General features: G+C 40.2%; 1 protein-coding gene and 1 long non-coding RNA gene across 12 annotated transcripts in view, besides 2 other annotated features; one reads left to right on the top strand and one right to left on the bottom strand.

Moving 5' to 3' along the window:
- Nucleotides 1–15,333, bottom strand: part of PPP1R12A-AS2 (PPP1R12A antisense RNA 2) — an 89,875-nt gene extending 74,542 nt beyond the window's left edge. The window contains exon 1 of the long non-coding RNA NR_187531.1: nt 14,969–15,333. This is a non-coding gene — a long non-coding RNA (PPP1R12A antisense RNA 2). The remainder of the gene's footprint in view (nt 1–14,968) is intronic.
- Nucleotides 14,104–14,403: a silencer, noted in NCBI's record as "silent region_4682". NCBI's record gives its function as "represses an Ori minimal core promoter by ATAC-STARR-seq in GM12878 lymphoblastoid cells {active_cell/tissue: GM12878}" and the evidence as "EXISTENCE:reporter gene assay evidence [ECO:0000049][PMID:35858748]".
- The window catches only part of PAWR (pro-apoptotic WT1 regulator), a 106,086-nt gene continuing 93,241 nt past the window's right edge, over nt 14,401–27,245 (top strand). For 7 of the 11 annotated variants that reach the window (XR_944561.3, XR_944560.3, NM_002583.4 and 4 more), the window contains exons 1-2: nt 14,401–14,493; nt 14,974–15,636. Coding sequence is in view for 9 of the 11 variants with exons in the window: in NM_002583.4 (NP_002574.2) it covers nt 15,121–15,636 (516 nt within the window). In the remaining 2 variants the exon portion in view is untranslated. The other 4 variants (XM_047428916.1, XM_047428917.1, XM_047428919.1 and 1 more) reach the window with 2 other exon arrangements.
- Nucleotides 15,174–15,693: a silencer, noted in NCBI's record as "silent region_4681". NCBI's record gives its function as "represses an Ori minimal core promoter by ATAC-STARR-seq in GM12878 lymphoblastoid cells {active_cell/tissue: GM12878}" and the evidence as "EXISTENCE:reporter gene assay evidence [ECO:0000049][PMID:35858748]".

Here is a 27,245-nt window from a genome sequence, read left to right as displayed (position 1 = left end):
TGCCATTGCACTCCAGCCTGGGCAACAAGAGCAAGACTCTGTCTTAAAAAAAAAAAAAGAAAAGAAAGAAAGAAAATGGCAGTGGCTTGTCAAGTTTCCAAAAGGAAATCAGAACAATTGGAATACTTCTTCAGTGGCACCAGTGCACAAATAAAAGGTGACAATCAAGAGCTGGTTAAAATGAGAGGCATTGCAGTTTTGCCCAGCTGTATGCCTGTTGAAGTAAAGCAGTTTAGGAGCCAGTTTAGGGATCTGTTTCCAAATATTAGAAGAAAGATCAGTTATTCAAAAAGAGGTTATAACTTTAAAATTGGCATGGCTTCAGTTTTCTTCTTTTGCGCCAGGCCACAAACCAATTCAAATATTTCCAGGGCATGTGGTTTCATTAAATTTTCTCCAATTTTGTGTGGGTTTTTTTTTTTTTTTTTTTTTTTTGCTTGTTAGAAAAATACTGACATTTTAAGTTTGCCCCAAGACAAGTTGGGACAAGTTTAATTTTGTTAAAGTTGCAGCCTTTTAAAATACAATGTTTTCTTATGAAATGATTATTGTAAGTCCAGGTATTTTCTTTTATTATTTATTTATTTATTATTATTTTTTTGAGACACAGTCTCGCTCTGTCACCCAGGCTCCAGTGCAGTGGCGCGATCTCGGCTCACTGCAACCTCTGCCTCCTGGGTTCAAGCGACTCTCCTGCCTCAGCCTCCCGAGTAGCTGGGACTACAGGCACATGCCACCATGCCCAGCTAATTTTTGCATTTTTAGTAGAGACGGTGTTTCACCACATTGGCCAGGCTGGTCTTGAACGCCTGACCTCGGGTGATCCGCCTGCCTCAGCCTCCCAAAGTGCTGGGATTACAGGCGTGAACCACCGCGCCTGGCCAGGTCTTTTCTTTTAAACATTACTTTGAATCCTATATTTCAAACATACAAAAGTACAGAAGATAATATAAGTTTCAAACATACAAAAGTACAAAGATAAGTTTATGTACTTGCCCTATTCAAATTGAACAAATGTTAACATTTTACATTTATCTTAGAGCTTTCTTTTTAAAGAAATAAAACATTATAAACAATAAAACATTACAGCTCCTATAGCTTTTTCTCTCCATCTGTCCTAAGAAGCAACTAATAAACTGAATTTTGTGTGCTTGTGTTTTTATTACAAAAATATCTATCTGTCAACAATATTCATATTGTTTGTACATTTTAGAAATTTGTATGAATGGTATCATACTTTCCATATGCACTTGAAACTAGTTTTTAAACATGTTTCTGAGATGCTATCACATGTTCTATTTTAAAAAACTGTATATATCCATTCTAAAACTAAAAGTTGAAAATTCGTGCTACGTTTTTTGTTTTTTTTTTGAGATGGAGTCTCACTCTTTCACTCAGGCTGGAGTGCAGTGGCGTGATCACGGTTCACAGCAACCTCCACCTCCCAGGCTCAAGTGATCCTCCTGCTTCAGCCTCCCAAGTGGCTGGGACTACGGGGTGCACCACCACTCCTGCCTAATTTTTTATCTTTTTGTAGAGATGGGGTTTTGCCATGATGCCCAGGCTAGTCTTGAACTCCCAGGCTCAAGCAATTCTCCCGCTTTGGGCTGCCAAAGTGCTAGGATTACAAGCATGAGCCACTGTGCCTGGCCACAATAAATATTTATGTCCATGTGTCCTTGTGTATATATCAGGATTTCTCTAGGGTAGACATCTAAGTATGCAGTTGTTGAGTTGTTGGAAAATTACATCTTCAACTTAAGTATTGCCAAAAGTTTTCCAAAATAGTTGGATCAATTTATACTCAGTGCTGAGTTTTCCCTCCATTTGCCCACCATCACTTGGCATTATCAGACATTAACTTTGGATAATACAATAGGTATAAAAGGGTACTTTTTGTTTTATTTTGACATTTGTGTATATTTTCCTGTATTTATCTGCCATTCAGTTTCTTCTCCTATGAATGGACTATTCATATTCTTAAGTCAATTTTTTCTTTTTTTTTAAGAGTCAGGGTCTTACTCTGTCACTCAGGCTGGAGTGCAGTGGTGCAATCATAGCTCATCACTGTAGCCTTCAACTGCCTGGCTCAAGTGATCCTCCTGCCTCAGCCTCCCAAGTAGCTGGGACTACAGGCATGGGCTACACTACCCAACTAATTTTTAAAATTGTTATTTTTGGGAATGGGGTCTTGTTATGTTGCCCAGGCTGGTCTCAAATTCCTGGCCTCAAGCAATTCTCCCTCAGCCACCAGAGTCACTGGGATTACAAGTGTGATTAGACCATTTTTAAAACATCGTTGCTTTTTTCCTCAATGATTTGTTACAGTTCTTTCAATATTAATCATTCTCTTTATATTATATGCCAGGCAAATTTCTGCTTTCAATATGTGACTTGTCTTTTTACTTTGTTTGTTGTCAATTTTTTCTTTAAGTCAAGGTCTCGTTGTGTCACCCAGGTGTGAGTGCAGTGGTGTGATCTTAGCTCACTGTACCCTCAAACTCCTAGGCTCGAGCAATCCTCCCAAGAAGCTGGAACTACAGGCGCACACCACCACCTAATTTCTCTCTCTCTCTCTTTTTTTTTTTTTATAGAAACAGGGTCTTGCTATGCTGACCAAGCTGGTCTTGAACTCCTGGCCTCAACAATTCTCCTACTTCGGCCTCCTGAAGTGTTGGGATTACAGGCGTTAGCCACCACTGCCCTGCCTATTGTCACTTTTAAAAATGTAGTCAGGGCCAGGTGTGGTGGCTCACACCTGTAATCCAAGCACTTTGGGAGGCTGCAGCAGGCAGGGCACTTGAGGTCAGAAGTTGAAGACCAGCCTGGCCAATATGGTGAAACCATCTCTACTAAAAATACAAAAATTAGCTGGGCGTGGTGGTGCACACCTGTAGTCCCAGCTACTCAGAAGGCTGAGGTATGAGGATCGCTTGAACTCGGGAGGTGGAGGTTGCGGTGAGCCAAGATCACACCACTGCACTCCAGCCTGGGTGATAGAGCAAGACTCTCTCAAAAAAAAAAAAAAGAAAAGAAAAAAGAAAAAAAAAGTAGTCAAATTGTTCAGTCTTGGCTTTGATGCCTTAAGACATTTCCCCTTTTTCTGGTATCATAAGGAACTCTTATTTTCTTCTTTGGCTGTATACTTACAAGGTGGAATATGATCTTTTAGCTTTGTTGAAATCTGATTTTGTTGGCAAGAATCTTTCTGTATTAAAACTGCTATGGCTTTCGTGTCTCAGTATGTTCAGTGGTTATGTCAAAAGTTAAATAAGGGAGGCTGAGGCAGGAGGATCACTTGAAGCCAGGAGTTTGAGACCAGACTGGGCAGCACAGCTAGACCTTGTCTCCATAAATAATAATAATAATAATAACAATAATAATAATAATAATTAGCTGGGCATGGTGGTATGCACCTGTGGTCCTAGCTACTTGGGAGGCTGAGGCAGGAGGACTGGTATAGCCCAGGAGTTTGAGGCTGCAGTGGGCAATGACCATGCTACTGCACTCCAGCCTGGGTGATAGAGCAAAACCCTATTTTTCTTTTTTTTTTTTTTTAAAAAAGCAAACTCAAAGGATAAATTTCATTTAATACCCCCAATAATCTGTGAGGTAAATATTGTGGCAGAGAAATTAGGTAATTTGCCCAAGGTCATGTAACTTAGAAATGCCTGAAGTCAACGTTAACTGCTTTGGACCACCATAATCCTACCCGCCTTTGTAGAACCTTCTTTACTTTGATATTTTCCAACTTAAGCTATGCTTGATGTAAACAAAGGTAGATGCCCATTATTTTAAGGGCAGCATATGTTAAATTCCTAATAACAGACAGATAACATGATATCAAAATTGTATGCTCCTTCTCAGCCTCTGTATCTATTAGTAGTCTATTAAGTCATAAATTGACAATAAAAATAACTTTCTTTGTATTCAGACAAATTTAAAACAAATAGGAAGACGCCGAAGGGGAATCTAAGCTTTTTTTTTCCTTACTTGATTTGTAGACCTTTCTAAGTCTATCCATAGAACTCAGATTAAGTTGAATGCCTAATGTTTATCGCGAGTTACTGGTGCTGGGAATACAGCTGTGAAGGCAATAGGCAAGATGTCTGTTTCAGTATGCTTATATTCTAGAGTGGGAGAGGCTGCCAATAAACATATGAATAATTTCTAGTGGTGATAGTATTATAAATACTATAAAATGGCAATACAATAGTGATTGAGGTTTAGGGTGGAGAATTTGGCTTTTTTAGATTGGGTGATCAGAGAAGGCTTTTTTTGGGGAGGTGACAGTTGAACTGAGACCTCAATGATAGGTATAGCTAGATCTGGGGGCAAATGCTTCTAAGCAGTGCAGGAGCACCAAGGCAGGAATGAGCTTTGAATATTTTAGGAACAGACAAAAAGCTGAGTTTAATGAAAAGAGGGCGAGTCATCAGAATCAACATTAAAGGTGAAAGCAGGAACCAGATCATACAGGGTCTTAAAGGCCAATGAAAGGAATTTGGATTTTAAGTGAAATAGGGACTTATAGAGGGCTGAGAACAAGGGAGTCACATGGTCTGATTACATTTTGAGAAGAACATTCTTTTTGTTGTGAGGATCGAATATATTTTGGAATGGGAGCTGATAGAATGGTGAATTGGATTTATGGGGTAAGGAAGAGATGAATCAAAGAAGTCTTGTAGATTTTTGCTTGAACAGTTGGATGGATGGTGAGACCATTTACCAAGATGGGAAAGAAATGAGAGAGAAATAAGGTAGGGGCAGATGGAGAAATGGATGGAAGTTTTTTTTGGTCATGTTCATTTTGAGAAGACATCCATATGAAGATGTTTTGATGGTTGATATGGAATGTCAACTTGACCAGATTGAAGGATGCAAAGTATCGCTCCTGGGTGTGTCTGTGATGGTGCTGCCAAAGGAGATTAACATTTGAGTCAGTGGACTGGGAGAGGCAGGCCGCATCTTGAACTGGGTGGGCACCATCTAATCAGCTGCTGCTAGAATAAAGCAAGCAGAAGAAGGAAGAGCAGACTTGCTGAGTCTTCCGGCCTTCATCTCTCTCACATCCTGGATGCTTCCTGCCCCTGAACATCGATTCCAAGTTCTTCAGCTTTTGGACTCTTGGAATTATATCAGTGATTTGCCAGGGGCTCTCGAGCCTTTGGCCACAGACTGAAGGCTGCACTGTTGGCTTCCCTACTTTTGAGGTTTTGGGACTCAGACTGTCTTCCTTGCACCTCAGCTTGCAGATGGCCTATTGTGGGACTTCACCTTGTGATCATGTGAGTTAGTACTCCTTAATAAACTCCCCTTCATATATACATCTATCCTATTAGTTCTGTCACTCTAGGAAACCCTGACGAATACAGATGTCAAACTGGCAAATGGGATATGAGAGTGACTCCTAAAGCCATGGTATTCCATGGATTCACCTAGGGATAAAGTGTTGCATGAGAAGAAAAGAGGGCCAGTGATTAACTACTGAGAAGACTTTAGTTTTCACAGATTAAGCAGATGGGGAGGAGTGGGTAAAGGAGGCTGAGAAGGAGCATCCAATGAAGTTGGAGGACAAAATAAAACTTTTTTGGTGATTTTTAAAAAGTTACAAGAAGGAGGATTTTAAAAATGAGGGAGTCATTTGTGCTGAATAATACAGAAAGGTTAGGTAGGATAAAAAAGATATGAAGCTTATTGATAATTTTGACAGGAGTGGTGAATAATAAGTGGAGTGGTGAGGACTAATGACCATTTGGAAATTATTATAGAAAGAATGGTAAGGGTGGAAATATCAACAGTGACTAAAGATAACCCTTCCAAAAATTTTGACAGTGAATTATAACATTGACCAGATTAGATTCTGGAGTCAAGGGAAGTTTATTTCTTTAAGGGGGCATAGTAAGTAGATAATGGCCTCCAACAACTTCCAGACTATAATCTCTGGAACTTCTGAATGCATTAAGCTACATGGCAAAGGGAAATTAAGGTTGAAGATAGAATTATAGTTGCTAGTCACCTGACCTTAAAATAAGGAGATTATCTTGGATTATTCAGGTGGTCCCAATGATCCTTACAAGTAGAACATAGAGGCAAAAGAGAGAATCCTAGAGAGATGTGTCTATGGAAGAAAGGCCGAGAGATGCACCATTATTTGCTTTGAGAGAAGAGGACCACCAGCCAGGAATGTGCGTGGCCTCTAGAGGCTGGAAAGGGCAAGAGCATGGATTGTTCTCAAGAACTTCCACAAGGGAATGCAGCCTTGCCAGTTTCTTGGTTTTAGCCCAGTGGGATCCAGGTAGCACTTCTATCCTACAGAACTGTAAGATGATAAAGGTGGGATTTTTCTTTTAAAGATGCTAAGTCTTTGGAACTTTGTTACGACAACAAAGAGAAAACTAATACAGAGGGAATTACTAGAGCTCATTTGTATGCTGAAGGGAATGATTTAATAGAGAAGAAACTGATTATGCATGAGAGTATAATTGTAGAAGCAAAACCCTCAAAAGGGGAAAGATACAGGTGGCAGGACAGCCTTTAAGAGGAGCAGATAACTTCATTTAATTAAGAAGGCAGAGAGTAGATCTAGATGCAGGAAGATGGGTAAAGCTGTCTTGGGCAGATAAGCCCTACTCTGAGTGGTGCTATTTTAGAGTCAGTGAAGTGTGAAGGCAAGCTCATCAACTGAGAGTGAGGTTGGTATAAGGAGGTATTGGAGGCTTAAAAGACTGATATAAACTAGTCATTTTGGAGTACAGGAAAGCAAGCTTACTAGGATTGCCAGATAGTATGGACTGCCTAGTTAAGACTATGGACATGCATTAAAGTTGGGTTAGGAAGCATGCCATAGTGTTTTTAACTATCTTTCTTTAGGTGAGCAGGTATACACAGAAGAGGCTAATAATTATAAACTTTAGAACTAAAGCCTAGTAAGGAAGTTAGGACATGGAAAGGAAGGATAATGAAAAATTAGTAGGATCAATAGATCAAAAAATGGTTGGAGTGGGGGTATGAGAGGAAGTGTGCTGAAGAGTTAGGTGGTAGTGGTTGAAAATGGAATGTTCAGAACTGAGATTTTGAAGATGTACTTATTGATGATGACAAAGTCAAGAGATATCTAGCTGAAGAGGGGGTAAAGAGGAAAAATGTTATTTGGAGTGAGGAGGTCAAGTATCTGAGATGCCAGGAGACTGGATAAATTATCTTTGTAGATGTTATCACTAAGAACTGGACATAAAGAGGAGTGGGGAGAAAGAAGGTTAGCTAGCAGTTAAAGTCCTCAGTAAGTAAGAGTGACTTGGAAGTAGGCTGACAACAGGAACAATGAGTTGCTCCTTGTAGAGAGTGGTATAGTCTGATGGCACTAAAACCAGTCTGTGGGAAATTCTTCCAATCATGAGACATGTAAAATAAGCAGAGAATTAGGTTTTCATTGGCATTTGATATACTTTCCTATCAGGAATAGATATTCTTTCCTATCTGGAATATATGATATAATGCTGAGTATAAAATTATGAATGGCCTATACATTATTTTCCTTTTTGAAGTAGATTTTTTTTGATGTACAATTTATAAGAGTTCTTGTGTTTGTGATGCATAAACCTATATACTTGTACTACAAATAGTGGATATATCTGCATGTAAAGACATGTACTTTATGCATCAATAAGTAATAAAATCAATAATAAAATGCATACAAAATGGCATAGAAATATGTCAGAGAGTAAATGAATAGGGTTTTTTCCTGGATTTTTGTGATATTTATGGCATTTTTCAATTTGTTAAAATTTGTAATTTAAAAAAATTTCTCACTTATTCTAAATATTTATTTTCTTACGGATTATTTTTCTTATAGAAAGTCCACCAAATTATGTAAGCTTCAGGCACCATAAAATCTAGGTCTTCCCTGGATAGGCCAAAAATCTGGTCTAAGATTACCTACAGGCAATTGAAAACAGAATATTCACTAGCTATATGAAAAATAGTTTTACTATATGGTTAAAAAAAGTTCCAAAAGAGAACCACATCTATTCTTAATATGGATGTCAGAAATGTTTTCTAGGTTTTTGATAATAGGAATATATGTAATATAATGGGCCACACCTTCAAAAAAAGCCTACAGAAAATAAAACAAATTTTTAGAGCTCTTTCTTATAGTGTCAATCAATATGGGCTTATGATGTAAATCACTGAGGACAGAAATAAGATGTAGACGTCTCTGCTGATCTGGACTTATGGAGTAGATTGCAAAGTATCTAGAAATCTGCAAAACAGATGAATTGGACTTCCTATTAAATATAACAGGCTGAACACACGTGTTTATCTTTACTTCCTCAAGTAACTTCACTAAAACCAAAGTAAAATGATAAACCAGTAACAACAAAGAGGATGAACAGTAAGAACAAAATTTTGGAAGATGAAAGATAGAAAGCAGACAGGCTTTAGCAGAGCAGAGTAAGGTAAATTCTAACAACCTGCAAGAGACAAAGCCAATAAGAAGTAATCTTTTTTTGTCCTGCAGATCCCTGAAGAAAGGTTCAGAATTGGAGGCAGCAGCATATACCTCTGAAACAGAGTGAAGGATGGGGATGAAAACAGAAGGATTAGTTGAAAATCTACACAAGGAACAGTTAGATTCTCAAATCCCTTCTGCAGGGCTCAGTAGCAAGGAGACTATCTCTCCTGATCCTGGCAGAGGACTGGAAGTTTTCACATTGTACAGATGTTGAATTACAAACGCACTGAAATTGGGTACGTCAGATATACTAAGTATAGGGATTAAGTGAAAACCTGCGTATTGAGTAATGAGACTCCTCCAGTCTTCTTTCCCTACTTGGCACCTGAAAAAATTGGCAACTGACAACACAAGCAGAAATAGTTTTACTCAAGGAAAATTATTGGGCCAAAAGAGAAGCTCCATAGATGCTGAATTTGACACATGCCTCCAGAAAATGTCTGCGGCCAAACACCGGCTCCCTAAATGAGGCCCATCAGTCCAACAAGGTCTTCCTTTTCACATAAGAGCTTTCAATCAGCTTTGCAGTGCTTCAGTCTTAAATATGAATAAACTGATGAGGAAGTGCTCTAACATGAAAGATGAAGATTAAAACAAACAAAAAATGTAGGCAATTTGCTTAGAGGACAAAATGCTCAATATGTATCATAAGACCAAGATGCTACAGAAAAAAATATTTAGAGAACAAGAAAGAGATATTAGAAATAGTGTCCGAAACAGAAAATTCTATAGAAGAACTGGCATACAAAGTGAAGGAAATTTCACTAAAAGTAGAATAACATGCCAAGGAAATGAAAAATAAAAGAGAAAAGAGAAAAAATTTGTTAGAGAACTTCTAGCATTCCAACACCTACTTAACAGGAATTCCAGAAGGCAGGAACAGAGAAAGTAGAAGGAAAGTCTTATAAAAGAAAGAGAATAGGCCAGGCACGGTGGCTCACGCCTCTAATCCCAGCATTTTGGGAGGCTGAGGCAGGTGGATCATGAGGTCAGGAGTTCAAGACCAACCTGACCAACATGGTGAAGCCCCGTCTCTACTAAAAATACAAAAATTAACCAGGCGTGTGTGCCTGTAATCCCAGCTACTCAGGAGGCTGAGGCAGGAGAATCGCTTGAACCCGAAAGGTGAAGGTTGCTGTGAGCCTAGATCAGGCCACTGCACTCTGACCTGGGCGACAGAGCGAGACTCCATGTCAAAGAAAAAGAAAGAGGATAAGAAAATTTCCTAACTGGAAGGCAGATAGCTGATTAAAAGGGTCCACTGACTGCATAACATAATAATGATAAAAGACCAAATCAGAGCATATCTTCAAGATATTTCAGAGGATCTAAGTAAGAAGATCCAAAAATTTTGAGACAGAAAATACAATGCAATCAGAATGCCACTGGTCTTCTAAACAGCAACTCTGGAAACTAGATGATAATAAAGCAATGCCTTCAAAATTATGAAGGAAAATGCTTTCTAACCTAGAGTTCTATGCTCCACCAAACTATTAATCAAGTATGAAGATAAATTTAAAACATTTTCCAATATGCAAGGTCTCTAAGAATGAGTTATACTATCTTCAGAATATACTGAGGATATACTCTGCTAAAATGAAGGGGAGAAACAAAAAGAGAAAAGTATGCAATTCAGGAAACAAGAAGTCTACAGAGAAAATGATTCTCAAGGTGTTAGAGGAGCATAATCCCAGGATGACCACAAGCAACGAGCCTTAAAATCAGTCCAGATTAGGCCAGGTGCGGTGGCTCACACCTGTAATCCCAGCACTTTGGGAGGCCAAAGCAGGCTGGTTGCCTGAGCTCAGAAGTTCGAGACCAGTCTGGGCAACATGGTGAAACCCCCGTCTCTACTAAAATACAAAAAATTAGCTGGGCGTGGTGGCATGTGCCTGTATTCCCAGCTACTCTGGAGGCTGATGCAGGAGAATTGCTTGAACCCAGGAGGCGGAGGTTGCAGTGAGCCAAGACTGCGCCACTGCACTACAGCCTCACCAACAGAGCGAGACTCCGTCTCCAAACAAACAAACAAAATCAATCCATATTAAAGCAGGGGATGGAGGGCTCCAGAACAGATGTTTCCAAAAAGAGAATAGAACTGATAGCTTACCCAATGTGATTAACGTCATTGAGAGGAGGAAAATTTGAGTATATACTTGTGACTGGTATATAAAAAAATAAGCCGATGATTAAAGAAAAAAAAAGAGGCAAGTTTTAACTGCAGAAAAATGGTAAAGACAAAAGGTATAGTTGTGCAACAAGGAAAAACAGTTGTAAAAAAAAAGAAATGCAATCATATACACCACATGACTCAGCTATGAACAGTATTTGTATAGTCATAATACTACGGGCGTGTAGGAGTATGAAAAGTATATGTGTGGCCGGGCATGGTGGCTCATGCCTGTAATCCCAGAACTTTGGGAGGCCGAGGCGGGTGGATCACGAGGTCAGGAGATCGAGATCATCCTGGCTAACACAGTGAAACCCCGTCTCTACTAAAAATGCAAAAAAAAAAAAAAAAAAAAAAAAAAATTAGCCGGGCGTGGTGGCAGCCACCTGTAGTCCCAGCTACTCAGGAGGCTGAGGCAGGAGAATGGCGTGAACCCGGGAGGCGGAGCTTGCAGTGAGCCGAGATCGCGCCACTGCACTCCAGCCTGGGAGACAGAGCGAGACTCCATCTCAAAAAAAAAGAAAAAAAAAAGAAAAAGAAAAGAAAAGTATATGTGTTATTAGTGTATTAGAGCTAAATCCTCTTCTATATCTAAAAATGGAAAAATCAAGATGTACAATAGCAGATATGCACATAAAAAATAAATATGAAGATCTCTATTAATGGAAACAGTTAAAAAGTTCAAAGTTTTGGGTAGGGTTTTCAGAATGGATAAGGTAGAGAGGGGATTGCTGTTTTTTGTTATAATCCTTGTAGAACTAAAGTATGTAATTTTTTTATCCTATGCACATATAATATTTTGATGTTAGAGGATGAATTGCATATGTTCCAGAAATACCTGCATTGAAGGCAAAATGGCTACTTCCCAATACACTAGCTATCCATACATATAATAATACACTTCCTCAAAATCATTAAGACTAACATCTAGGTTTCACTCTGACATATTTAAATGAATCTGTTTTTGTCAGCATTATCATCATATTTCATTTTATTATTAAGGGCAAGTGAGTCGCTAAAAATTGGTTATTTTAGGCTAACTCAGAGGTGCTCAACCGGGGAAGAATTTTATCCCAGGGACCATGTGGCAATGTCACAATACAGGTGGGGGTTTCTTATTGGTATCTAATAGGTAGAAGCCAACGATGCTGCTAAACAACCTACAATGGGCAGGACAGCAAAGAATTATCCAGCCCCAAATGTAACAGTGCTGAGGTTGAGAAACCAAGCTCCAAGTCTTTGAGGATTATTTCATCAGAACGCTATACATAAAGATTGATGATATGCAAACATCTTGCAATTTAGGACTGACTCAGCTAAATACCTCGGTGCAATGTTGGAAGCAGTCTGGCTGTGAAATATATCTTCGGGAATATTGAGAATGGTAAAGACAAAAGGTATAATAAATGATAATAATAACAAAACACAGAGCTTTGTACCTCAATAATCTCTTTCATCCATGGTTCCTAGGGCACTTTATAGACTAATAATACCTACTCTGGTACTCACATACCACCTTTTATCTAAGGACTGCAGGCACTTTCACAACACTCTCACGATGCAGGAAGTATTATTATCCCCATTTTATATGTAAGTAAACAGAGGCACAAAAGTTAAGCAACTTGCCCAAAGCCACACAAGTCAGTAGCAGCCAAAATTCCTGACTCAGAACCTATTAACACTAAGAGAACTGGTCTAAGCCATGCAGTGATAAATTTATGTGGGGTGTTATCCTAGTTCATTCAAAGTCTATCGTTTTTAGGCTGATATTGTATATTCAATACCCCATCTGTTATAATTTCCTCTTCTCCCATACACTTCTTAGAGACCAAGGACTTTAAGCCCCTAGAAGGGACTATGTTTACTGAGTGCCTTCCTCGAATCAAGCACATTTTATGTGCAGTGTCAGTTCTTAAGACAGCTTAAATATAATGTAATTGGGAGGCTGAGAGCAGGAGAATTGCTTGAACTCAGGAGGCGGAGGTTGCAGTGAGCTGAGATCCCGCCACTGCACTCCAGCCTGGCGACAGAGCGAGACTCCGCCTCAAAAAAAAAAAAAATGTAATTTTTGCTGATTTTATAGTACAGAAAGCTGAGTACCAGATAATGTAAACATGCCCAAGATCTCTCAGCTAGCTGACTATACCCTCTTTCCACTATATCCTGCAGCCCTTCCAGGAGAAAAGTCCTCTGATAAGTTACAAAGCATATGAATGTGAATACGTTTAATGTCCCAGCCTCCCTTACTCTCCTTAAAACTCAGAAAACAAACTAATGAATATGTAATTGAGAAACTTCAGGTGGCACACTGGGGTTGGTACTAGCTTAGGTAAACAGCCGCTCAGCCTTTTAGACCTATTCCCAACAAAAGCTTTTAATTTTCTAAGGATTTTTCCAGAGCTCTCGCCATACGTTTCCCACAACAGCCAGACCAAAGACCAAAACTGTCTTTCCCTGAGAAATATAGAGCATGTGAATCACTTTCTTCTGTTCCCAGTTCTGTGGCAGGCAAACACTGATTGCTCACTCATCATGTGCTACCTGGGCAAAACAGGAATATTAAGTAGGAAGAAAGGTTTATGTTAGGTAAGAGCGTGACTTAGGGCTCTCCTACTTTTTTACAAAATGGAGACCTGGCATTTGTAGCCTCCCACAATGATGTGCCCTGACATTACTTGGATATAGAAAGGTCAGTCTTAGGTGCGTCAGTGACAGCCCACCCCGCTCTGATCCAGAAATTTCAGATGACTTGCATCAGAGGATAAGCCTCTGGCATGTTAATAATGAAAAAATAGAGACAATCACTGCCCCAGCTCATCTCAAATTAGCATCAGTGCAGCGTTAGTACTTTGGTAGGGAGCTTTGCTGCTAAATTCATTCTCTGTAAAGAGGAGAGGCAGAGACAGGGTTAAGGGGAAAACTCCAAGACTGGAATCGCCAATACAATAAACTGTCGAACTGAGTTTTTTCTCCCGCAACCCTAAGATACTAGTAAGTCCTTCCTCTTAGCCAACCCTTTTCACCAGGGCACCGCAGTTTTCTTAGAAGGAGGGTGCTGGGTTTGTCTCAGGTCTTTCTATTCTCCTGCCCGCTGCCCTAGTACATCTGAAAAGGGAGCAGCGACTAGGAAAAGAGACACGTGGGTATTTTCCCATCCTGTCTAGTCATTCCCTGAATCATCACAAGTTATCGCACTTTTCCCCTTAGCCAGCAGCGTTCGAGACTTTCTCTCAAATAATACGGTCTTGTACTTAAAAGGAAGAGTGGTGGGAGAAGAGAGAGGCGGAGAAGACAAGCAAGAAGGGCGTGGAGTGCCGTTCCCGCCCCGGAGTCGGAGGCGCCGGGAGGCCGGACGCCGCGAAGCTGCTAGCCCAGGAATGTGCCGTCTAACTCGCAGGCCGCGGGCGGAGCGCGGCGGGCGCGCTGTGGTCTGCGGCGGGAGCGGGGCAGAGGACGGCTGGCGCAGGGCAGGCTGCAGCGGCGGGCCGGACGCGACGCCGCGCACCTGAGCGCCGGGGGCGGGGCGTCAGCGGCCACGACCCTTCCCACCGCGCGCCGCGCCCCTCGCGCGCCGCCTCGGCCTTTTCCGCTCGTGCTTCGGCGCCGCTCGGCTCCCTTCCCGCCCCTGGCTCCCTCCCTCCCTCCCTCCCTCCTTCTTCTCCCTCCCTCCTGTCCTGGGATTGCCTGGAGCTCCGCACCGCGAGTTTGCCGCGGCACTTTCCGCGCGGCGGAAGAGCGCGCGCCAGCTTCGGCACACCTGGGAGCCGGATCCCAGCCCTACGCCTCGTCCCCTACAAGCTCCTCCAAGGTAAGGCGCTCGCTCACACCCGGTCCTTTCCACGCTCGGCGGGACAGCTGGGTCCCCGCCTCCTCTGCGAACCGGCTAGGAGCTCCGCGCCTCGCCTTGGGAGTGGGGTTGTAGCTGACGGGGACCTCGGACCGGCGGTGGCTAGAGCGCGGAGCAGGCGATACGACGAGCCGACAGGTGGCGGGTCTAGCCCTAGTATCTCGACCGCCGCCGGCGCGGACCTTGGTGGGGATGGGGCGGGCGGGCCGACTTGGGGGTGGGGTCAGTCCTCTCTCCTCCCTTCTAGGGGCGGCGATCGTCGGGGTCCGTACTGTAGGTGCGTGGGAGAAACTTTGCAGGGTGGGGACCCGGCGGCTGCTGGCCGGTAGTGACTGGTGGGCGCGCTCGAGGACTCCAAGGGGCGCAGCCCGGGGGCAGACCCTTGGGTCGGGCGGGGATCTTACGCTTCCCTTACCCGCCCCCTTTTGTCTTTCACCTCAGCCCCGCCGGCTGCTGTGGGAGCGGCGGCCGTCCCTCTCCTGGAGGTCGTCTCCTGGCATCCTCGGGGCCGCAGGAAGGAAGAGGAGGCAGCGGCCGGAGCCCTGGTGGGCGGCCTGAGGTGAGAGCCCGACCGGCCCCTTTGGGAATATGGCGACCGGTGGCTACCGGACCAGCAGCGGCCTCGGCGGCAGCACCACAGACTTCCTGGAGGAGTGGAAGGCGAAACGCGAGAAGATGCGCGCCAAGCAGAACCCCCCGGGCCCGGCCCCCCCGGGAGGGGGCAGCAGCGACGCCGCTGGGAAGCCCCCCGCGGGGGCTCTGGGCACCCCGGCGGCCGCCGCTGCCAACGAGCTCAACAACAACCTCCCGGGCGGCGCGCCGGCCGCACCTGCCGTCCCCGGTCCCGGGGGCGTGAACTGCGCGGTCGGCTCCGCCATGCTGACGCGGGCGGCCCCCGGCCCGCGGCGGTCGGAGGACGAGCCCCCAGCCGCCTCTGCCTCGGCTGCACCGCCGCCCCAGCGTGACGAGGAGGAGCCGGACGGCGTCCCAGAGAAGGGCAAGAGCTCGGGCCCCAGTGCCAGGAAAGGCAAGGGGCAGATCGAGAAGAGGAAGCTGCGGGAGAAGCGGCGCTCCACCGGCGTGGTCAACATCCCTGCCGCAGAGGTGAGCCGGGCGGGGGCCGCAGCCGGACCGGGCCGGGGCGGGCAGCTGCCTCCCGGTGTCTTCCTCCTGGGAGCTACCCGGGGCGCAGAGTTTACCTCCCCTGGCTCGTACTTGTCCCTTCACCGAGTTAGGCAGGCAGGGGGTGATGGAGTTTTACTCTGAACAAATGCTTCCTGGGAAGTTCCCCAAACTCAGAGTAGGACACGTGCTTTTCAGGCTTCCTGGCCAGGTCTCAGATCCAGGATCCTTTTTTACCGTGGTAGAAAGACAACTTATGGCTCCAGGACTTGCCCACCTGGACTTGGCTGACTTGGCCACCTGGACTTGGCTGTTTATGCTTGATCAGTTAGAAAAATTGATTAATGGTGACGACATTCTCTAGGGTCTCACGTGCCCATGTGAAGTTACCAGTTTATTTCTCCTTTCTTACCAATGTTTAATAACATCTGTAAAGAAAATGTTGCCTTAGCAATATCCAAGACAGCTTTATCTTACAGTGAGCTCAAGATGAGTATATCCAAATGAATACGTGCACTATTTTATATATAAATCAGCTGTTTATAAGTTGTGCTCCTAAACACACAGTGTTTTTCTGAGTGATACTTAGGACAATAGGGATGATTTAGTAACCCACAATTCTGTTCGCTAAGACGATCTCTTTTTGAGTACTGTGTCTGAAAAACATGTGGTAGGGTTTTTGTTTGTTTTGGGTTGTTTGCAGTTTGGAGCATTTTCGAAACGTTACAGGTAGCAGCATCTTCCATTAGAGTGACTGGTAAAACATTTTTACTAAGTGTATAATCACACCTCCCTCTACCAGAAACAAGACAAAACAATCTCAAACAAGTTTTGATTACTTTGATAGTAGCTCATGGATTTGAGGAAGTGGTTCAACTACCTTGTTTCACCTAAAATAGTTGCATCTTTTTCTCATTGACTGTTTAGCTTTCACTTTTTCTTCTCCTGGCTTTCTAATTTTACTCAACTTTAATTGTGGTTTAAGTAGAAGCATTTGCAATAAGTTAGGGTGTATATTAAATATACCTAAATTTTTAGTATTATGATTTCCATACCTGTTAAATCATAGTGTGTCTTTGTAGGACGTATTTATATGAGCGTTTCAGAGATTTTTATCAGCCAGCAAAACTGTCCTCTGCGGTTTGCTACTTGCACAAAAGATCTGTTATTCATTAAATTGCTTTAGAAGGAATTCGTAAGAGTGGTAATCAAATTTCTAGGTGTTTTTTTTTTTTTTTTTTTTAGTTAAAAATATGAAGATTAAGGGGAAATTGAAGACAAGGCTTTGGAAAAGCTACATTCCTCAACTTGATTTTTAAAAGTAGCTGATGATCCAAATAAAAGAATTTGTCATTTTCAATCTTTTCCTCATTGTTCATCTGACAGCGGTCTTATTTTGGGAAATATCTTGGCAGATGTTAAACTTCACTTTTTTTCTGGCTGCATGTGCTAAAATTATTTTTCAAGTACTTTTTTTTTTTTTAAACAAGGGTAATGTTTACTGGGGGAAGTAAGTAGAGTGTATCTTGTGAGATCCTAAGAAACATCTTTTGTTAATACCCCTGCTTTGAGTAAGAGAACATAGTGCTGAGAATGTAGATGACTTCCCACTACAATGGAGTCTAATACTCTGGAATGTTTTTCGTTTGGGTGTTGGCAACTCCTAAATTTAATCTTCCCTGAAAACAAACAAACCAAGGGTACCTTTTTTTTTGTCTGTAGAGTTTGAACCTTTTTATTGAATAGGGAATTGAGGACTGCTTTCTTTTAGTGGTAACTATGTCTCTGTCCGTTTCAAGCTGCAGGACCCAACAAAACAGTAATGCTTCACTACAGTATCTAATTAACAGACATACTTCTTGAGCGCCTCCTCCTCATATTTTCTTATTTTTCAAAACAACTTATGTATTTCAGATTATTTTAATAGTGGTAAAATATATGATGCAAAACTTTAAAGCTGAGCCATTTTCATGTGTTTATATTGTTGCTTTTTTAGAATTGTGCCATTTCTCCTGGTAGTTTCAACATTGAGAATACCAGTTGCTGTGGAGTTTCTTGTGTAATATTTAATTTAGCACCCCTGTTTTAAAAAGTCATACATATTTTGCAAATTTTTCGGGTATGAAAATAAGTAAAAAGATGAAAATGACCAATCTCTTTATATTCAAAAGTAGACTTTATTTTATCTAATGTCGAGTAAGACTCTTATTTTCAGACATGATTCCCAACCAAGTCTGTATTAGTAGATTAACATGTAGTTCATATGTAGAGATCTGGTTTTAATGGTGGATAAACATTAAGTTCCTTCAAGGAAGTACTTATGAAACATCTGTGTGATACATTTATTGTGACTTTCATTACCTCACTTTACTAGTTATAGAGTGTATATATAATACTGTTATAAAGGTATCTGACAGCAGCTAAAGATACCAGAATTGACTAGAAGATAGTTATAGGCAAGGAACCAGGTCAAAAACCGAAACTAGCTATTTGGGAGGTAGGAAACTGGGTGGTTACTGCATGTGATGGCTGAAGTCGATCTATCCAGAGCTTCTTTAATGAGATAAAATTTACTAAGAGTTTTAAGAAAAATATCCTTTTTTCTAAATTTTTACATTTTCTATTTTTTGGTAGTAATTCACCTGAACTGGGTAATTTGGACGTGGCATACTTCTTGCCAGTAATTTTTGTGTGTGTTTATCAGATCAGTCAAATGTGTATTACATACCTGTTAAAGACACTATCCTTAAGCAGTGGAGAAAATAAGAACACGGCAGTGTATATTCTCAAGGAGCAAGGCTATAATCTAGGAAGAAGGATAAGGCATAATTACATGAAAAAATTTAAGTACTGAGTTAACAGTTTAAAAGCCATCTTAATGAAGCATGTAACTATTTATTGGAAATAGTGTGTGTTTAAAAGGGGGAGATGATTGGGCTGGGAGAAGCTATTGAGGATGAGAATCTTGACCTGAGTCTTAAACTTTTCAGTACTTGTATATTTTTACATATGTTCTCACATATGTACATGTATACATAATTGTTTGTATAGTATATTAAGTACCGACATGCAGTGGTTCTTAACTTGAGCAGCACATTGATAGCATGTTAGGATCTTTAAAAAAATGTTTGCTCATGCTAATTCAATTCCGTGCCCTCTTTGTCCCTTCACCCCACCCTGTAATATTGAATGGGTCTGGGATGGATCCCAGGCATTAATATTTTTATAAGTTCCCCATTTGATTCAAATGTGAGTCAGTGATAACAACTGTTGGACTGCAGTCTGGGTATAGAAATGAATAGGACATAAGCCTTGCCCACGAGGTGCTCTCAGGTAATATAAGGAAATGTGAAAAGTAGAGTAGTAAGTATAGCTTAGTGCCTGAGCAGGGTACCTAACCCAGGGAGGAGGAGTGATAGTTGAAGAAAGCTTCCTAGACAGTTACATACTTGTTTCCAGGGGGTTTGTGAAGTTACTGCCATTGAGTAGGGTTGTGTGAATGGGTTAATGGAGATGGGTGCCATAGAAAATGTAATCTTTGAATAGGTAGAGGTGGCACTGAAGTTTTGGTTTAAGTATAAAAGTTAACATATACAGTATTTAAAACTTCTGTTTTAAAATAGTGGTTGGCTAAAGTGGTTTAGCTTTAGTGGTTGGCTAAAGTGCTTTATGTACTGAAGTTCACAGCAATCTCATGTGGTAGTTACACTGTTTATCACTATTTCCAGAGGAGAAAATGAAGACTTAGAGCTTAAATGATTCAAGATCACATAGAAAGTAACTGATAGAGCAATATTTTAAACATTTTTGTGTATTTTGTGTGTATGTATATATCTAGGGAAAGGGGAGTTTTTAAAAATTAACCTACTTTTCATTATTCAGCATATTTCCCTAGATTTTTACATAACTTTTTATTAAAGATTATCTTAAGTAATTTAAACATCTGAATGAGGAAAACAGTAAAGGTATGGAATTGAATAGAATTTCAGGTCAAATTTGTGGACTCAGAGATTGCCTCTGACCCTCTAACCTATAGAGTGGCAAAATTTTGAACACCAGGCTCTCGGCAAAACGTAAATTTATTTTTGGCTAGTGGTCAGAAAATGTGAATCTTTGATTTTACCTAAGTGATATATTGTTTTTCTATCAAGATGGGGTCATGACACCTACTCCATAGTTTGAACTCGTGTTGGTGAAAGGGAAGATAAAGGAGCATTTAACATATAGAAAGCACTTTTAAGTGAACACAGGTTAGGTCATAATTATTTAGTATGTTTATTGAACATTATATATAGGACAAGTTCCACTTAGTAAACTTTATAAATCCAGGTGGATTAAGAAATGCCTTTTGTTATTCCCATTATGCTCCAGACTGTCTACCTTTCTGTGTGATGAGTCAGGAGAGAAACTAATAATGACTCAGAGTTGGAGAAAATTTGATTCGTGAATGGGGTAGATATAGTGTAAACACTGAGACTGTTTAGTGTAAAACCTGGGCTATTAGCCCAGCTTTCCTAAATGTTTGAGCTCACTGGTAAAGTAAATTGAAATTTTAATATTATCAGGATTTGTACTGAGTTGTCTGAGCTGGGATGTCATTTCTCATAAAAATAATAATTACATAATTAAAGTAGATGACATTTATGGTGTGCTTATTAAGTGCCAGGCACTGTTCTAAGCACTTGACATACATTAGTGCATTTAATTCTCACCACAGCCCTATGGGAAAATGGGGAAGAGAAGGTATGTTACTTGCTTCAGGTCATACATGTAGTGAGAAGTAGATTAGAGATAGTTTGCACTCACAGTCTTGTGCGTAATAAACCATCTTACTACACTTCAGTGTATTACATACTGTATACCTAGTTTAAGAAATACAAAGAATATTTTAGTGTTAAATTGTTAGTATATGACTATGGAATTTAAAAATAGCCCTATTTATAGAACATAGATGAAGTGAGACTTTAATGGAAAATTTTGAGAACAAATGAATATATAAACACTGGCATTAAAATTCTTATTTAAAATCATTATCAAGCTAGTGGCCTGTTTATACTATTTTCTTTGTTTTTTTCTTTCTTTCTTTTTTTTTTGAGGTGGAGTCTTGCTCTGTTGCCCAGGCTGGAGTACAGTGGCATGTGGTGTGATCTCAGCTCACTGCAGCCTCCACCTCCCGGGTTCAAGCAATTCTCCTGCGTCAGTCTCCCAAGTAGCTGGGACTGCAGGTGTGCACCACCATGCCTGGCTAATTTTTGTATTTTTAGTAGAGATGGTGTTTCGCCATGTTGGCCAGGCTGCTCTCAAACTTCCAGCCTCAAGTGATCTACCCGCCTCAGCCTCCCAAAGTGCTTGGATTACAGGTGGGAGCTACCGTACCAAGCCTATCTATGCTATTTATTATTTCTGCATTTTTTTTTTAGCACCTATGATGTGTGCCAGAAAATAATTATGCCATTTAATAGCAAGGTTGATATAATGTTTTATAAGTATAAAATTATTGGCAAATATTAGGGTTTGACATTTTCTCTGTGCTTTTTTTCCTTTTTTAAAAATTGAGATATAATTCACATACAATAAAATTTACCCTTTTAAAGTGTACAGTTCAGTGGTTTTTTAGTATTCACACGGTGTGCTCTTAAGTGCTTTTATATTTTCATCTTTATTTTTCATTATGTTCTTAGAACCTCTGGTCCCTAAATTTTAGCTTTCCTTTCAGTAAAGTGATATGGTATTCAAATTATGAGAAGCCATTAACTTAAAATAATTTAATATCAGCCTTTCCCACTTTACAGAGAAAATGAAATTATGGTAGGATCTCCTCAATTTTAAGTTTCTTAAAACTTGGGCACCTACTACCATTTGTTTGCAGTGGAGTTTAGTATAATAGGTATTTATTAGGTTTGTGCAAAAGTAATCACAGTTTTTGCCATTGAAAGTAATGGCACCAGCCTAATAGTTGGATTACTTTTGCAAAAACCTAACAATTTAACTGAGTGTAATACTTTCACCTTAATAAAACTTTTACATATCTTTCATGGAGATCTGCAAAGCTCTGTCATCTAAACATTTGGGAACATTGATTCAGAGTTAAAAAAAAAAAAAAAAGGAGTTTCCACTGCTTACCACTTTAGTTACAGTACTAGAATCAGTGTCCTAAAAGATGTTTCTGGGGGGACCATCTCTACCAGTATCACTTTTGCCATTTATTTAAAATCAGATTTCTGGAATCCACCCCAGTCTGGGTTAGGGATGTTATCTGAGAGTCTGCATTTTAACTTGAGTGATTTTGGTACACACTAAAGTTTGGGAAGAACTAACTTAAATACCCTGTACTAGTTTACTGATCCGTCAAATGAAATGAATGCTGGTTATCTAACAGGATTGTTACATGAATTAAATAAAATGATGTTTGTGAAAATGTTATAAAAATGCCCAAATCAGAAATTGTAGTTACTGTATAGGTTAATTTCCTATGAGGTTGTTAAACATTTTCATTTTTTTCTTCCAATTTAAAACTGTGCATATTTTAACAGACAGGTTGAGCTACTTGGAAATTCAAAGTACTTTAAACATTTATGTAATGTCACATACTTAGTGCAAAATGCTCTGTCTGCTTTGCCTCTTTTCCAGAATTTAGACAAGTCTAGACTACAGAAACACCTCAAATAGTTAATGCGTAATTAGAACTTTACTTTCACTCATTTTTAATTTTTACATATCTTTAAGTGAAAGCATATACTTGTGTTTATAAATGTATTTGATAATTAGCAACTCAAACTTTTAAAGCATTGTGTTTGCCATCTTATCAAACTACTATCAAGTGCAAACATTTTTCCCATTGATTACAAATCTTACATGTTAGACCTATAGGCATCCTTGACTGGCAATTGATTTTGAACATATTTGGTTAACTGCTGAGTCAACTTTCTGTTTAGATCTTAGGCAAATGTGTTATAGCCATATACCTACATGTATAGAATTGAGCCTCAGCCACCTGTTACATTCTCCTTAGGCTATGTAAAAATACACAGGGCACCATGGCTGAACGACATTGTAGGAATATTTAAATTCTAAAAGCAGCAAAATCACACACTTCAAAGGTAAAAAGAGCTCCAGCAAGTTCAAATCTTAGCATGTCAGTTGACTAGTAAAATGTTTATTCTGTGATAGTTTTTGGAGATTTTGTCCAGCAAAATTTTGTGGGTCACAGTGTATTTTTCAATGATAGTCTCATTTATTTTAAGTAGTTGAAGAAATAGGGCAGTTGTATTCTGAAAATTAATATTTTGTTAGGTTTTGCTGAAGTGAACAGATAGGAGAGAATTTATATTGTGGATTACAATTCTGTGGCAGCTGAAACTTTGTTTTCAGGCTCTTCATAATAAATTCTGTGGGGCCAGGTGCCATAGCTCACACCTCTAATGCTACCACTTTGAGAAGCTAAGGTGGGAGAATCAATTGAGCCCAGGAGGTCGAGCCTGCAGTGAGCCGTGACTGCTCAACTGCACTACAGCCTGGGTGACAAAGTGAGACCCTGGCTCAGAAAAACTCAAACAAAACAAAACTCTAGGGGGACTAAGAGAATAGGATAAATAAACATAATAATATACAGTTTGAAATACAGAACTGAAACAGATGAAATTAACTTAAAAAGACATCTTTCAGACTAAGCTTATCTATGGTCATGTAAGCAAACTACTTAATATTTTAGAATTTGCAGGTTACATAAAGTATCAATTGATTTTCTATTATTTTGGAGTTTTTTCCAGAATATTTTTAGTAGTATTTAAAAAGAATGTAAATCTCAGAACAGAGTTAACATTCAGAAGATGGTGCTTGAGGAATAGGAATAAAAAGTACGATTGTATTAGCTGAAATAATCAAAGAAGTTACTTTTAGGTTTCAAATTCTTGAAAGACTTCTCCATATCCTATAATGTAAGCAAAAGTTGATGCAAATCAAATTTATGTAATCCTAATTTTTTTCTGCTAGTAGAAGTAATGTGTTAAAAAAAAGGCAGTGTGTTCACTGTAGTTCTCTCATGGAAATAAATCCAAGGAAAGGTAGAAAAACCTGTTATCTTATACATATTAATATTTGTGTTTCTATTCTTATTTTTTTGAATCTACTTGAGAAATGGAACCACACTATTGATTTGTGTGTATACTTAACCACTCATCATGAGTATTTTTATGATGTTATTCTATAACTTCAAAAATAGGGGTGGATGTGTATGTATCTTTTGTTGTATGTTTTTTAGAGACAGGGATCTTGCTTGTTCCCCAGGCTGCAGTACTATGGTGTGATGACTCAGCCTCAAACTCCTGGGCTCAAGTGATCCTCTTGCCTCAGCCTACCAAGCAGCTGAGAGTACAGGCATGAGCCACCATGTCCAGTTGGATGCATGTGTTTTGTGCTGTTTGATATTAAAATACTTAACCATTACTTCATTGGGAAAGGACCTTACTGCTTATCTGCCTTATTATGTGGCTTTTTGATTAGCCCATAAATAGTCTTAGATAAATAGCCCTTTCCTTTCCTTTCCTCCCCTCCCCTCCCCTCCCCACCCCTCCCCTCCCCTCCCTTCTTCTCCTTTTTTCTGAGACAGGATCTCTGTCACCCAGGCTCAGTGCAGTGGCACGATCATGGCTCACTGCAGACTCAACCTCCTGAGTTCAAGAGATCCTCCCACGTGAGCCTCCTGAGTAGCTGGGACTGCAGGCTTGCACCACCACATTGGGCTAATTTTTTAATTTGTTTGTAGAGATGGGGTCTCAGTATGTTGCTGGTCTTGAACTCCTACACGCAAATGCTTCTCTCACCTTGGCCTCTCAAAGTGTTGTTGGGATTACAGGTGTGAGCCACTCCACCTGGTCTATTTTTTTCTTTTCATATATTGTGTTTCCTGAAACATTGCTCAGGAAAAGTGTTTGTGCCATTGAAAGAGTCTCATAGGTTCAGATAATTGTGAAGGATGACCAGAGGTTTTTTCTTTTTTTAAACCTCTATAACCTTTGATTTCACTGGGAAGTTGGTGGTTGGAGCTGGAGTAATTATAAATGTATGTATGCTGTAGCTGAAATAAGTTCCTGAAACTCATCATGGTATGCAAAATTGTGCAGTAAAAACTGTAGGGCATATGTGAAAATGGAGTTTGGGGCATAACACTCAAAAACTTTGTCAATGGCATTTAAAAAGATAGAAACCTAATAAAAACTAGCAGTTTCACACATGTTAAATGCTTAATAAGTACATAAATACTACAACAAATATGACACTTTACTTTGAAAAATACCTAAACTTTTTGAAAAGTGTTAGAAGGATCCCAGCTTGTGAATTACTGTAAAATGGTAGGAGGAAGGTTATCTGAAATTGGAGTGAGAGTGTTACACCAGATGTGGATGGGTGTAGCTCATAACGTATGCAGTGAACTGACGTAACTGGCAGATGTTTGAGGTGTGTATGCATATATTTCTACGTGACTGGGTTGCAGTTATCTGTGCCTGCTGAGCATTTCTTGCATTTGAACATAAGCAAACACAAAATTAGTGTTATTCTCAACTTGTTCCCTAACATGTGTTCATATCAGTGGCATTGGGACAAATCCATGTTTTTCTAAACAAATGTTATAGTGCGTATATGTCTACCCATGCATAGATATCTGTATCCCCATCAATCTGTCTAAAATATGTAAAACGTTGTAAAAACATAGAAAACAATGGCTTGGGAAGATCAATCCAAGTAATGACATAGAGGAAAGGTATAGGAAGCAGAGAAATGGGAGTACTCATATAAGAGTATACTAATAATGATCGCTAGGGCAATAGTGGTAGAAAAGGAAAGAAAGAATAGATTTCAGAGATATTTCATTGGCATTAAAAATTACATAACTGGATGTTTTGAGCTGGAAAAGTGTTTAGAGATCATCTAGCCCATTACAAAAAACAAAACATTAATGTAGTCTTTCCAGAAAGCTTTTACCTCAAAACTTAAGTTGCATTTCAACCTCAACCTTTTTCCTCTAGCTGAGTCTAGCATATCCCCCACTGCTCCTGGCCCCACCAGGCTAATACTACTGCCGTATCAGGGATTTTATTTTATTACCTCTTACTTAAATACTCAGCCTCTACCTCCTGGTTCATCTTGTCATGCAGAAATGTTCCCTTAATTTTGCTTTACCTTCAGCTTACTGTTTTTTCTCCATAATTGGTCAGTTTCTTAAAGGCAACATTTTCACCTGCTGACTGTTCATTTCTTACTACAGTACTGAAATTCATCTCTCTAAGGTTGCCTGTGACCTTTTTTTTGTACCAGTGTCACCAAACTTGTGACCTCTTAATTGCCGAATGTGACAGCTTCTTTCATTCCATTTGTCCTCTCTGTAGCATTTGCCCTGTCACTCCTCTCATATGCTGCAGCATTTTTTATAGATTCTTTTATAAGAATCTATATGTAAATGTTTCTTCAGAAACATATGAATGCCTGTTGTGTGCCCCAGGCTCAGTGCTGTGTGATAGAAAATATTCACCAGTCTTTAAGGAACTTCTAATCTTTCAGGGAAAGAGATAAATAATTAGAGGTTAGTATAATAACAACTATGATGGAGAAAAGAGCAAAGTACTGAACTAGCACAGAAAAGGGGGCCATGGGCCGGGCACAGTGGCTTTCACCTGTTATCTCAGCAGATTGGGAGACTTAGGCAGGAGGATTGCTTGAGCCCAGGAATTTTAGGCTGCCGTTAGCTATGATAATGCCACTGCACTTCAGCCTGGGTGACAGAGTGAGACCTTGTCTCTAACCACCATCCTGTGCCTCCCACCCCCGCCAAAAAAAAAAAAAAAATACCCTAAAGGGAGCCATTAATTAAGGAAGTCAATAAAGGCTTTACATAACATGAGGTGGTATTATGCTTTAGGTCTCAGTTGGTAAGAAAGATTCTCCAAGTGAAGAGGGGAACAGGGTAACATTTCAGGTAGAGCAAATAGCACGTGCAAAGGCACAGAACTGGGAAGTAATAGAAATAATAACTTTATATTGCATGCCTGCTGTATGTCCAGAACTGCACAGAAGGCTTTCCATGGGTTACATCTAATCTTCACATTAACTCATGAGGTAGGTTTTTATTTTTATCATTTTACAAGATGAGGAAGTTGAGCCTCAAAGAAGTTATGACTTGCCCAAAGGCCATCCTGGCAGAACTTGGCTTTGACTCCAGATCTGTTTGGGTGCCAGTGCCCACACATTGGTTATCATTGTTGGAAATAAGCAGGATATGTTCTAACAGAGGAAATGGTGATGTTCAGAAAATTCATGATGGGGAGTGAATGGAGAACAGTTAAAGAGGATTGATATGGACCAATTGTGTTGGATTTTAATGCCATGCCAAAGAATTCAGACTTTATTCTGCTGTTCAGTATTGTTGACTGGGTACTTCCTTCCTCTGTCCATATCTGTTTATGCAACAACTCTCACAGGTTTTGGAAAGAAAACAGTTTTGTCTGCCTAATTTGAAATCATTAAAAGGATTGTCTTGTTCGGAGGCAGATATTCAAGAGTAGTAAACAACACAAAATACTGTGAAAATAACATAT

Source organism: Homo sapiens, chromosome 12, assembly GCF_000001405.40.
Source record: "Homo sapiens chromosome 12, GRCh38.p14 Primary Assembly".
Taxonomy (NCBI): domain Eukaryota; kingdom Metazoa; phylum Chordata; class Mammalia; order Primates; family Hominidae; genus Homo; species Homo sapiens.
This window is presented reverse-complemented; position numbering and strand designations above follow the sequence as displayed.